The 12,707-nt window shown below is 44.0% G+C and overlaps 1 protein-coding gene across 2 annotated transcripts in view; it reads right to left on the bottom strand.

Moving 5' to 3' along the window:
* Positions 1 to 12,707, bottom strand: part of LRFN2 (leucine rich repeat and fibronectin type III domain containing 2) — a 195,774-nt gene that overhangs the window by 57,412 nt on the left and 125,655 nt on the right. The window contains exon 1 of one of the 2 annotated variants that reach the window (XM_011514762.3): positions 4,587 to 4,680. The exons of the other annotated variant lie outside the window; for it this stretch is intronic. The gene's annotated coding sequence lies outside the window, so the exon portion shown is untranslated. Of the gene's footprint in view, positions 1 to 4,586; positions 4,681 to 12,707 lie in introns of those variants that run through there. 2 annotated transcript variants of the gene reach the window in all.

Here is a 12,707-nt window from a genome sequence, read left to right on the forward strand (position 1 = left end):
GCATTGTGCTCTTCCTCTGTGGGGTGACTATCACAGCCTCTTGGTTGTTCCCTAATACACATTTTCCTGTTCTTCCCTAGTAAGAATCCCCAATTGCACATGGTGAATATAGTTAATAATAGAGTATTGTACATTTCAAAATTGCTAAGAGAGCGCACTTCAAATGTTCTCACTACAAAAGTGTTAAGTATTTGAGGTGATGGATATGTTAACTAACTTGACATAATTATTCCACAATGTGTTTATAAATCAAAACATTCCTTTGTACCCCATAAATATATACAAATTGTAAATTTACAACAAAATATACAAATTTTAAAAAGAGAAAAGAAGTCCCAAGTGTTATTTGGCCAAAAGGCCACCCCCAAATAAAGACTGTATTTCCCAGCCTCCCTTGTACTCAGTTGCAGCCATGTGACTTAGTTCTAACCAAAGGGTTGTGAGTAAATGTCTACTATGTGATGACCCACAAGTATCCTTAGAGAAAGGTCATGCCTGTCTTTGCTCCTTCCTGCTTTCTACTGATTGGAATGTAGATGGGGTGGGTAGAGCTTGAGCAGTCATCTTGGACCATAAGGTGGTGGCCAGGTTTGAGAATGCAAAACAATAAGATGGAAGGAACCTGGGTATCTGGTGATCATGGCACCACCATATAGCCCTGAACTTCCCACAGTTTGTCTCTTTTTTCATTACAACTTTCTGTTTTAAATAGTTTAAGACTCATACGAACTTGTAAAAAATAGTATAAAGAGTTTCTATATACTCCTCACCCCATTTTCCCCATTGGTAACATATTACCTAGCCATAGCACAATTGACATTGGTACAATGCTGTTCACCCAAATATAGACCTTATCTCTGTATTTGTTACATGATAGAGAAAAAAAAATTCTATCTCATTTGGGCTACTTTGCATTGTTTTGGTTTTATTTTTTATCACTCACAATGAAATCTTTTTCTAACTGATATGAATTTCCAAAAAATATAAGGTGGCATCCCAGCCCCCTCCCTGAGAAATGGATACAGTAGGCAGAAGGAGCTGACACAGACGCAGGGAACTAGAAAAACTTCAGGACAATGTAGAAAAGTCTTTTGAAACAGAGAGAGACACAGGACTACGAAGTCATCTTTCCTTTCGATGGTGCTGAGAGAACTGTCCTCACCGGCCTCCTTACCCCACCACTGACTTTGCATCCTTGCCTCACCTTCCCTACCTCGGAGCTCACCTTTCTCATGCTAGAACCACCTGCATATCCACATCTTACCTACCCAGAGCTCTGCATCTCCCTGCCAATTCTTGGAGACTTAAGATTCTCATTAGTATTGCCAGCTCCTGGCCCATCAGAGTCACATGTTGGGAGAGAGGAGTGAAGGCAGGTGACATTTGTTGGTATTTTCAACTCGGGTGAAAACAAACAAATTGCACTGAAGTTAAATGTCAAAGGCCCCTGAGCACATTGCAAGGGAGAGAGGGAGGGAGGAGCACCTCCTCACAGGGGCAGCCTTTTCCTTGTCCCTGGGTGGGTGTGCATGGGGGATGCAACCGTGCTGGAAGCCTGCAAGGAGGGCAAAGTGTGCAGTGTTTGTCCAGTGTCCAGCTTCATCCCGTCATGGGCAGACTGGTTATACACGGGCAACACCAAGTGAGGACACTCATTTATTCTCCATCTATTTGCTGACAGAACATTTACTGAGAACTTACTACATACACAGTTGCTGTAATAGGTGCTGAGGGAAGCCAACTATGAAACAAATTTTCACTGGCCTCCACCTCCAGGGAATAGATCTCCTTTAGAGAGGACATAAGATGTATAAATATATAATGTAAGAAGCAAATGAGTATTATCTCGAGGAGTACAAAGTTCTTTGAATGCTCAGACAGAGGAGGAAGGAAGATCAGGGAAGAATTTCAGAAGCTTTGTCATGAGACCTGAAGGAGGGACAATATTTAGACATGCACAGATGTGGGCTATAGGTGCCACTCACCTCAAAGACACCATAAATGCATCTCCATGGATATCACTATTAGCTTTGATATTGTTGTTTCCTCAAACTAAAGAGAAGTGCACTAAGGGAACTAGACATGTGTGATATAATCTAGGAGAGGAGGTTTTGTTTGTTTTACTCCTTAATCCATGGGGGGATTTCTTTGGTCTGTGAACTGATTGAAATCGTATGCCACATTTTTTGTGATCATGCATTTTTCTGTAAAGAGTGCCCACAGCTTTCATTAGAATTTATGTGGTAGAGGTGACTTCTCCCAAAGTTCAATTCCTATTCCACAAGCTGGCAAGAAGTGGGGCCTCACTGAATCTTGGACCATTACTTGTCTGTCTGAATCTACTCCATGAAGAGAGGCTGGAGGTTTCTAGATGTGGTTCTTCCTGCACACCTGAGACCTGGGTTACATGCCTCATCTGGAGAGACCCTAAAGCAGCTGCAGCTCAAGAGGGTGGGGCAAGAGATAAACAGGGGAAGGGACGAGACAAGCTCTTCCCCTGGGGGAAGCAGCATCTTCTGCTTACATCTGGCCCCATGGTGATTGAATTATCAATCCTCAGACTTAATGAGCACCTCTCTAGTCTGGCCACGCGGCCTGTGTTGGGGAGAGCAGACATTTCATTACTAGAATTCGGTGGTGCCGTGTGGATCCTGGTCTCCTGACAATTACGAGAAGGAGCTGTAGTGCCAGGCAGCAGCCTTGTGTTAACCTTACCCTGTTAGAAACATGCCAACTCTCTGCCACTCCCTAGTCACATGTGTAGCTCTATGTGATCAGGGGAGGCAAGGTGCCCCTTCTAGGAGACCCAAAGTACAAAACAAATGCCTTGTTTGGATGTTCCCTTGGGCCTGGACCATCTGGCTATCCAGAAATAATGAGAAGGCACATATGACACCTTTCCAGATTAGGATTAAGAAAGAAATGCACAGGCTGCTGCTGGACAATTTCTAGGAATCATCATCACTCCTTCATCTTTTTACTTCCAAGGGTATCTCTCCCAACTAAGATGACTTTATGGATACCTCAGGTCACTGTAGATATCACCATTATCTTCCCTCCTACACAAGGAGAAACAAAGGCACAGGGAAAAGGCCAGGGGCACTAGTAGAAGACTCTAGGAGGATGTCCGAAGTGTCCAATCTTACCACCCAGTGAAGGTCTTCCAAGAATCAAGGGCAAAGTGTAGATCAGAATTGTTGTGTCATGTGACAATGCATGTCAGAGTTTCTCTAGGTCACCCTGCCTCATGTCCATGGCATCACCTGGCCTCAAGGACAGAGTCATGGCTGGTCAATATCAAAAGCCCAAGGCCAACCAAATCTTGGGTCAACCATGCCATAGGACTGCTCCCGTGATATTGCTGACATCCCAAACCAACAACAATTTAGAATTAGCCACATCAGTTAGCAAAGTCATGATAGCCAGTGGTGTCTCCAGTCAGTGTTAGAATGTCACTCCCTGCATTAGTGAGTCCTGAGCACTGCTGGATTATTACTTCAGAGCATCCTGACATGAAGGAAAGAGAAGTACATTTCAGCTTGTGGCCGTGTGATCCTCCCTAAATTCTCCACCCTGGAAGCCAGAACAACTGAGGGATTTGACCCACTTAATTGTTTCACCAAGTCCAGAAAAACTTAGTGATGGGTGACAGGTCTCTGAAAAGAGCCACGCAGACCACAAGTAGCATAGAAATGACTGAGGACATAAGGGAGGTTCCTTTGAAGCCAACCGTATGAACATTATGGAATTATCCTTCTCCCCCAATACTTCCTTAGCACACAGAGAGGAGGTCACACAAAGAGAAGGTCACACAAAGAGAGAGAGAGAAGGAAGCAGAGGGTGAGAAAGAGGAATAGGGGAAGGGGAGAGGGAGAGGAAGAGAATATACACAAGGAACCTTAGAAAGAGAAATTCCAGCATATCACACTAGCCCCCTAGGGCAAGAGATTTGGTTGTAGCCTCCGGCAACTTATGTAAAATAAGAGTGACTCTTTGCTAGGTGTAAGAGATGAGCCCCATGGCAAACTGCATTGACAAAATAGGTGACTCTTCCTCAATGGGAATGTTCTATGGCACCCTGCTTCAGGCTACAGAAGGGTCCTGATCACTATTGCAGGTAGAGACTCCAGCTCTCTCCAAGAAGAAACATAAAGTCTTTTCCTGTTGTGTACCCTGCAGGGAACTGTCACTCTAGAAATGTCATTGATTATGTCAATACGGTTGGAAGGAAAAAGGAAGAGAAGTATTGGAGAGTGAAGATGTGGCAATAGGGTTGAGGGCAAAGGAGAAACTAATTGGCTGGCTTTGATATTCTCATTGTGCATTGACATGGCACAATGTGGGGGATAGATGAATGACATCTCATCTCTCTCTAGCTTTAAGGATCCTAAGCATCCATGTAACAAGGATCACCCCACAACACCCACCGCAACCACCCTTAGCAATGCCAGGCCCACCACCACCCACCACTCCTCAATAGGGTCAACACCATTGTTACTCCCCCAAGCCAAACACACACACACACACACACACACACACACACACACACACACCTCCCTTTGAGTTGACTTTGCAAACACACATACCTCTCTTTGCGTTGACTTTGATATCCAGATTTTCTTTCCTCTGAGTTAAAAAGACACTCTTTTCCTCCAAAGACATTAGCCTAGAGGGAAGCGTGATCAGGACTGGGTGATATGCAGGAGTATTTTGAGTTTTACTCACATCACTCACAGGGTTTTTAATTTGCTGAGGGCATGTTTTGTGCCCAAGGATCAGTAAGTCACTGATACTGACGACTCTCTACAACAAACTAATTTCAAGGCTCTTTCGGATGTGCCAAAGCTCAAAGCAAAATGTTCCCATAAACATCCAGGCCCTGTCCATTGTCTCATCAGATTCAAAACACCAGCTAGCCTCTCCCTGTCTCTCCCTGCTTCAGGTAAACCCTCCAGTCCCTGTGTGGTTTTTGTGCTGGACTGTCTCTCTACGCCATCTCATCTTGCTAGGAATGACTCTGGGTTCCCTGAAGTGGGGTCTCCTGTATAGTTGGGATGCTCCAGACCAAGACCATTGATCATTTAAAACCTCCTTGGATGTCTAACATGCTCAATCTTATGGATAATTAAGGAAATGCAAAGGAAAACACTTTAATTTCATTTTTTCCCAAGAGTTTGGTAGAGACAAAGATGTTTGATAATAGCCAGTGCTGGTGAGGCTGTAGGCAAACAAACACAGCCAAACACTGTTAGGGCTGTTGGGGAGGGAGGTGCAAATTAGACAAATTCTTGAAAGACAATTTGGAAATATCTATAGAAATTTTAATGCTGTCCTGGGTGCATCTAGTTGGGGATGGTGTCATGGGTGGTAAAATTTACCAAGACAGTTGTAGGTAAAGAAAGGCAGATTAGAGAAAGTATGAAAATATGTTTCAAGGGTGCAATGGGCAGCACAGCAGAGAAGGGCTGTCTGCAAAGAGCCTGGGGCTGCAGGGAAGTTTTATAGGGTCATGCTGGAGGGGGTACGTGCAGAAGGAGGTCATTGTACCCTCAAATCATTTGTGATTGGCCATCTCTCAGAACAATTGCTCATTTTTCTCCCCTACCTAGGCCCTCCCCTACCTGGGGCCCCTTCCTTGTTCTTCTTTACTTATCTTATCAGGACTCTACACTATCCACTCTTTGATCCAGCAATTTCACATCTAGAAATTTATTCTGCACAGATACTTGTACTTACACACAAAAATTAGATATAAGAATTTTGTTATAGCATTGTTTATAAGAGCCAAAGACTATATATAACTTAAATATTTACCTATAGCTTACCCATATGTGAAATGCTGAGTTGCAAAACCTAATGCATAGTGAGATCCTATTTGTATCCCTGAAAAGGACACATACACACAAACACACACATAAGCACATCTATTTATCTTCTATATGCTGTCGATGTATAAGCCAGAAATTTTTTGAAAGGTTTCTCTTAGAGCTGTAACTGGGAATCTAGGACATAAAAAAGACGTCCTTTTTATTATACACACTTTTGCACTGTTCCCATTTTTTAAATTTAAATCTATTGCTTTTATAATAAGAAGAAACTATTTGTAAAGTAAATAACTGAAATAAAATGTATACCTCTTGACTGTTTCCCTTCCTCTTTATTCTCATGGTTTCTGCCTTGGAGTCATGCTTTCCTCTCACTTGGCTTATCACAGTAGCTTTCTGTCACTCCTCAATATGCAATGCCTGTGCATCTCTGAGACTACTTTGCACCACTCTACCAAACACATCATGATCTCATGGCCTCACCTGCCCCTCAGACCACCAGCTGTTTGCTCCACCTCGGTTGTCACCTCAGCAGAACATTTCCATGCAGCCATGTGGATTCCATGTGGGGTCTGGCATAAGCCCCCACACCACCTTGTGGCATGAGATCTGGCTTCAAGAGCAGACCCTTAAGGGGCCAATGACACAACCTGGAAGTGCAGGGGAGTTAACTCCTTATGGGGTACTAGCCAATGGAAATATCCTAAAATGGAGATAAAAGTATTACATATTCCCCCCAGGGCTCTCAAACAAGCCAGCAATTATCCCAGCTTTATTCACTCTAAAGGACTGTGCAAACCTGAGGATTTACCATGCAGCAGCAGCAGTATCACTATCATCTTTATTGTGTTATTTTGTGGCCTTGAGCACACACATAAGAGCACAAGATATCAGAAGGGGAGGAGGTGGGACTTGTCAATATGATGGGTGTGATGGGGTACCATTTCTGTGATTACATGACATTGCAGGGCAGAGGAAGTTTTGCAGATGTTATTAATGAAGGTCCCTCATCAATTGACTTTAAGTTAATCATAAGGGAGATTATCCTGGGTGGGCCTGACCTAATTAGGTGAGCCCACAGAAGGGACTCAGCCCTTGCTGAAGTCATGGAGATTCAAAGTGGGAGAGATGTTTCTCTTTCTGGCTTTGATGGTGCAAACTAGCATGTTGTGGAGAAGGCCATGCAGCTGGGAGTGGTAGGCAGCCCCTAGGAAGAAGGAGAGACCCGCAGGTTGACAGCCTGCAAGAGAGAAGGGGCCTCAGTTCTACAACTTCAAGGAACTGAATTCTGCCAACTTAGAAGTAGATATTCCCCTAGAATCAAGCCTACAGATAAGAATTCCTTGACTTCAGCTGTGTGAGACCCTGAGCAAAGAAGTCACAGAAACTGCAAGGCAGTAAACCTGTGTTGCTTTAAGCCAAGTTCCTGCTAATTCATTATGCAATAACAAAAAACTAACACATACCCAGAAGTGTGAATTCATTTCAGACTGAAAGAAGGAGGCAGATAACTGCTTAGAAAGCCAGAGGAGAAGGACAATGAACTCCTAGGAAATGAATCTAGGAAAGAGAGACTGAGAGAAACTAGACCCAGGTATGTCGATGACATGTGTTTCCTAAGCCTGAAGTAGCCTACTCTGTAGCTAGCCTGAGTACTTAGGGTCACTGATCTCTTTGAATCTTGTGCTCTTGTGTGTGGCCAAGGCCACAAAATAATGATCGTGCTGCTGCTGCGTGGCAATGCCTTGTGTTTGCACAGCCCTTTAAAGTTAACAAAGCTGGCATATTGGTTGGCTTGTTTGATTCTCTAAGATCCCTGAAGGGAATATTTAATACTTTTATCTCCATTTTACAAATGAAGAAAATGAAAACAGATTGTTGAGGGCTCTCCATAGTTACACAGTTATTAAAGGCTGTCCAGGACTCAGACCTGAGGCTCACGACTCCCTCTCCAAGGAAGGAGAGAAAAGGGAAGGGTGAAAAGCAGTAGCTATGCTCCTTGGGTCAAGGACACAAGAACCAGCCTCAGAGGCAGCCCAACTCCCACTTGGTTGTAGTCATTTTGGCACCTAGGGAAAAATAGCATTCCCAGAATCACCACACATGCTTTTCTGTAACCAGGAACACACCAACCACGCAGCTCTTCATCTTTCAGCTCAGTGAAGGATAGGGGTGGTCACCATCCAATCCCCTCCAACCATCCCAAACCACCTCCCCTGCACCCCTCCCCACCACCCTTTCCTCTGTTCTCTCCTCCTCCTCTTCCCCTATCAAAACATACCTGTTCTAATTCCTAGTCTCTGCTCACTAAGAATATCATCACCATATGGAGGTAGAAATGGATAACAATGGCTTACATTTCTGTCTGTAAGCCAAGAGAGATGTGTATATTTTAAGAGTTTTTTCCTTAGAGTCCTAATCCAAAGGAGGGATCTTAAATATGTGGATTTAGGGCCTTGAAATATAGGTAAGCTGCTTACTCTGGAAGAAAGCCCGTCATTCCACAAGGAAGTTTGGGGGAGAAAAAGGGATTAACCTTTTTCTCCCCCAAAATAGCTATCTTGTTAGTCACATGTATAAATATTTTCTGTTATACCAAGGGAAATGTAGGTGGAGCTTGCCTTATTGTCAGCATAAGGTTACATCAGAAATGAGAAAACTCAGGCCAGAGTCAGTGGCTCACACCTGTAATCCCAGCACCTTGAGAGGCTGAGGCAGGAGAAATCACTTGAGCCTAGGAGGTTAAGGCTGCAGTGAGCCATGATCATACCTCTGCACTCCAGCCTAGGCAACAAAGAAAGACCCTGTTTAAAAAAAAAAAAAAAAAAAAAAGAGAGGGAGAGAAAGGAGATGATAAAATTCTGTAAAAACCTGAAGGTGCCATGATTTACCATGGGATCTTGTGCAAACACGTGTGGTAGATGTGATGAATGCTCACCAGTATCCAGCTCTCCTCCCCTTCTAGACAAAACTTCTCAGCGCTCTTGCAGGTCTGAGAGCTCTGTGACTGCATTTGGCCAATGAAATATAAGCAAAATCAATGTGTGTGATTGACAGATATGATCATCCAGCCCCTTTCCTGTCCTGCCATGAGGGTCAAGGGGGCTGGGCAGTCCAGAAGTTGTAGCTACAGGAGAATGAAGCTATCATTAGCCTGGATTGTTTAGGGCCACATATAGGACAGCTGCCCTTAAGAGTCATTCAGGCCCATAGTGGATTTTGTGAGGGTGATAAATAAACATTTGTTGTGTAAGATTGGAGGCCGCTTGTTACTAAAGCATAATCTAGTTATTCTAATTAATAGATCTCTTAACTTCACTGAGGCTGTTTTCTTTAACATGTGGAGAAACCCTGCCCAGCCTTCATTCTAGGGTGGCAGTGAGGAACAGATGAAACCACTGATAACTGCTTTGTAGTAAACACGAATGTATAAATTATGCCAGGTTAGATCAAGTAGTGGGCAATTTGCCGGAATGATTTCACTGCAATTGGTGCAGGCAGTGATAAGCCTCACACATTAGGGAGCAGGGAGAGCTAGGCAGTGGATACTTTTATTTTAAAAAAGTACTATTTAGGAGCAGCAAAAAGTCCAAAGTTCTCTGAGAACAGCCATACATGTCAGTCTAGGGCTGTCCACTGCACTCTACACGTTGGTTTCTATATCCTGGCTATGTTGACGGGTGATAGTCCAGAGCAACATAAAGTCTCAGCTTTCTCCATTTCCCCAGCAGTGAGATAGAGCAGAATCACTAATCACCCTTCCTTCCATGCTAACAGACCCCATCCCTCCTCCAGGGTTGCTTGGGCAAATGGTACCAGACTCTCCTAGAATGGCAATGTGACCTTGTGTTCTCCCAAGGAAAGTGTGCAGCAGTGATGAACGCAACTTCTTCATCCCTTGCTTTAAACAAAAACTGTTCTTCTTGGCTTCTCTTTCCAATTCCCAGGAGCTGGGTAGTTGCCAGCCACCCAGCCCCAACAACACAGATGAGCCCAGCACCCAAGGGGTTTGAACCATAAGATAGAAGAATCCTGGGTCTGAATGACTGTCCAGCACAACTGACCCCACCAGCTGGCACCAACTAGACTGCTCTGTGAGAGGAAAATACACTTCCGTCTTATTTAAGCCATTCTCTTTTCAGACTCTTTGTTACAGCAACTTTACCTTATCCTAACTGATACACTGGATTAAAAGATGCTACAACAAATGTTTTAGTTTATTTCATACGTGGTTTCCAAGAACTCATGAGACCAACATAACAAAAAGTCTTTCTGGTTTGTAAACTGGGCTAAAGATCTCTACCTTCCCTAAGAAGGAAAGCCAGGTCCCTGGACTAGGCAGGCAGGTTGCAGGGCACTGAAGGGTGCCCTTTGGGTCTCACTGTCTCATTCTCATTTCCCCCAAGAATCCAAGGAAATTGTTTCTTTACCTTGGCCACCACATTTTCAACAAAGTGAACAAAGTCTATGATGGAGAAGTCATAAGAGTAATAGGCCAGAGGAACTTCAATTGTGAGGGACGATGTGTTCCCCTGGTCTCTCTACCCAAGGGGTGACCAAATAGAGTAAGAAGCTTGGAGAGGTTGTGTGTGACACATAACTCCTTAGTAAATTGCAAACACTGTCTTTTTACAGTAAATTATGATGTGTCAAGTATAGACAAAACATGTGTGTTTTGCTGTGGACTTCTCTCCATGAACACTTCACCATTCCCTGCTTCCTACTGTCCTCCCCTCTCATCTCTGCAGGGCCTAATCCTATCAGTCTTTCAGGGCCCAGAACAAATGCTATCTCTTCTCCCTTGAAAAATCTGCATGTTCCCTACAACCAGGTCAGTTGCTCCCATGTCCAAATACCAAGGCACTTTCACCTATGCTTCTTTTGGGATGCTTGGCACTATGTGCCTTCTGGATGGGTTGGTGAAGACACACAGCAAAGACTTGTGGTTTGGATGGAGGGAGGACCTTTTAATGAGAACATTTAATCTTTGTCTCTGGCTAGGGGCCTCATACATTATTTCGCCTAATTCTTATATCAACTCTATGAGTCGGGCACTATTAAGAGCACCAAGAGGTGAAGTCACTCACTCATGGTCACCCAGCTAACAACTAGGGAGGAAGAAATTCAAACCTAGGAAGCTGCAATTGCAAGCCAATATTTATAACCACTGTACAACGCTGCCCTCATTCTTGACAGGGACAAATGGGTGCCCATGAAGCTGGGCTCAAGGAAAATATTGATGGCAGAGAAGGTGGCTGCAACCAGGAGCGGTTGGAAGTTCAGAAGTCCCCATGTGGACTCTTGTGGAGTCTCCTCACAGGGGCTCCTTCCGGAGGCTCCTACTGACAGCAGGCCTGAGCTTTGAGTTAGTCAACCGAGACAGTGAAACTACTCTGTCAATTAAGTCAAACATCTGGTTAATGCAGTGAAAAATCAGTCACCAGGGTTCTGGCCACAGACCCAGGACTTCTTCCAGGCTGTAGACTCTTCCCCAGTCCCCTGCAGATGGAAGAGATGCTTCTTTAATTCCCAGACCCGGATTTGCATGCTCCTTTCTGATTGGTTGGTGAGGCTCTCATATAATCTTGTTCTATGGACCTACCATGAGCATAGGAGGGGCAAATTCTATGGCCTCTGAAATGAGCATTAGAATGGAGAGCTGGATTCAGCCCAGATCCCAAAGCACATTCCCAAGCCGTGTACTAAGTTCTGTGCTGCCTGCTGTAGAAATGCAAATTGCCATAATAAATGCCAATTATCCCAATTACCTCTAATTGTCTGGCTTATGTAGCAAGAGCATTACCATAGGAGAGGCCTACAAGGGAGAGGGTGTATTTAACAGAATACCCTATCCAGGGAGCTGGGTTATAAATGAAGTAGGTGAGCTGGCCCAGAAAGCCCCCTCCATAGCCCCTGGGATAGATCACCACAGAAAGATGAGGAGACTTCATAGTCTCCCAGCTGCTTGAGGACAGCACTGATGCAGTGACATCTTTATGCAATGGTCATTAAATGTTATTTTAAAAAGTTGGCCAAGTGCTGGAGAGATAAGCGCAGAGAATATATGCTTGTTCCCTATGCCTCTTCCTTCTGGCCAGCTGAGTCTACGGAACAACTAGGGGAGAGGGTAGGCTATTGAATGAAACAATGACATTATTTTCCATCATTGTAATGTAACATTTGATTCATTCATTTATTTAATCAACCAGCCAGGCAATCAGGAAGCATACACTATATACCAAGCATCTGGAAACAGCATTTTGAGCTGAAAAGTGACATTAGAAATTTTACACACTGGGCTGGGCGCAGTGGTTCATGCCTGTAATTCCAGCAATTTGGGAGGCTGAGGTGGGAAGATGGCTTGAGGCCAGGAGTTCAAGACCAACCTGGTCAACATAGCAAGGATTAGTCTCTACAAAAAAATAAAAAACATTAGTCGGGCATGGTAGTCACACCTGCAGTCCCAGCTACTATGGAGGCTGAAGTGGGAGGATTGCTTGAGCCAAGGAGTTCAAGGCTGCAGTGAGCCATGATCACACCATTGCACTCCAGCCTGGGTGATAGAGTGAGACCCTGACTCTAAAAAAATAAAATAAAAACTAAAAAAAAGAAATTATACACACTGCATGTCCAACAATTATACCAAATGATTTCATTCCTTCGCATAGCAAATAATTTTTTGAGCCAGGCACAGTTGCAGCCCCGAAAATACAGCAGTAAACAAGATAGATCAAATCCCCAGCCACCCCCCTCCCCCCGACAAAAAAAAAAAACCCTCCCTTCAACAGAGCCTATATTATAGTTTGGGGAGACAGAATACACGAGATAAATAAAGTAAACATGATATCAGAAGGTGGTAAGTGCTAAGGAGAAAAAATAAAG

This window comes from Homo sapiens, chromosome 6 (genome assembly GCF_000001405.40).
Source record: "Homo sapiens chromosome 6, GRCh38.p14 Primary Assembly".
NCBI lineage: Eukaryota > Metazoa > Chordata > Mammalia > Primates > Hominidae > Homo > Homo sapiens.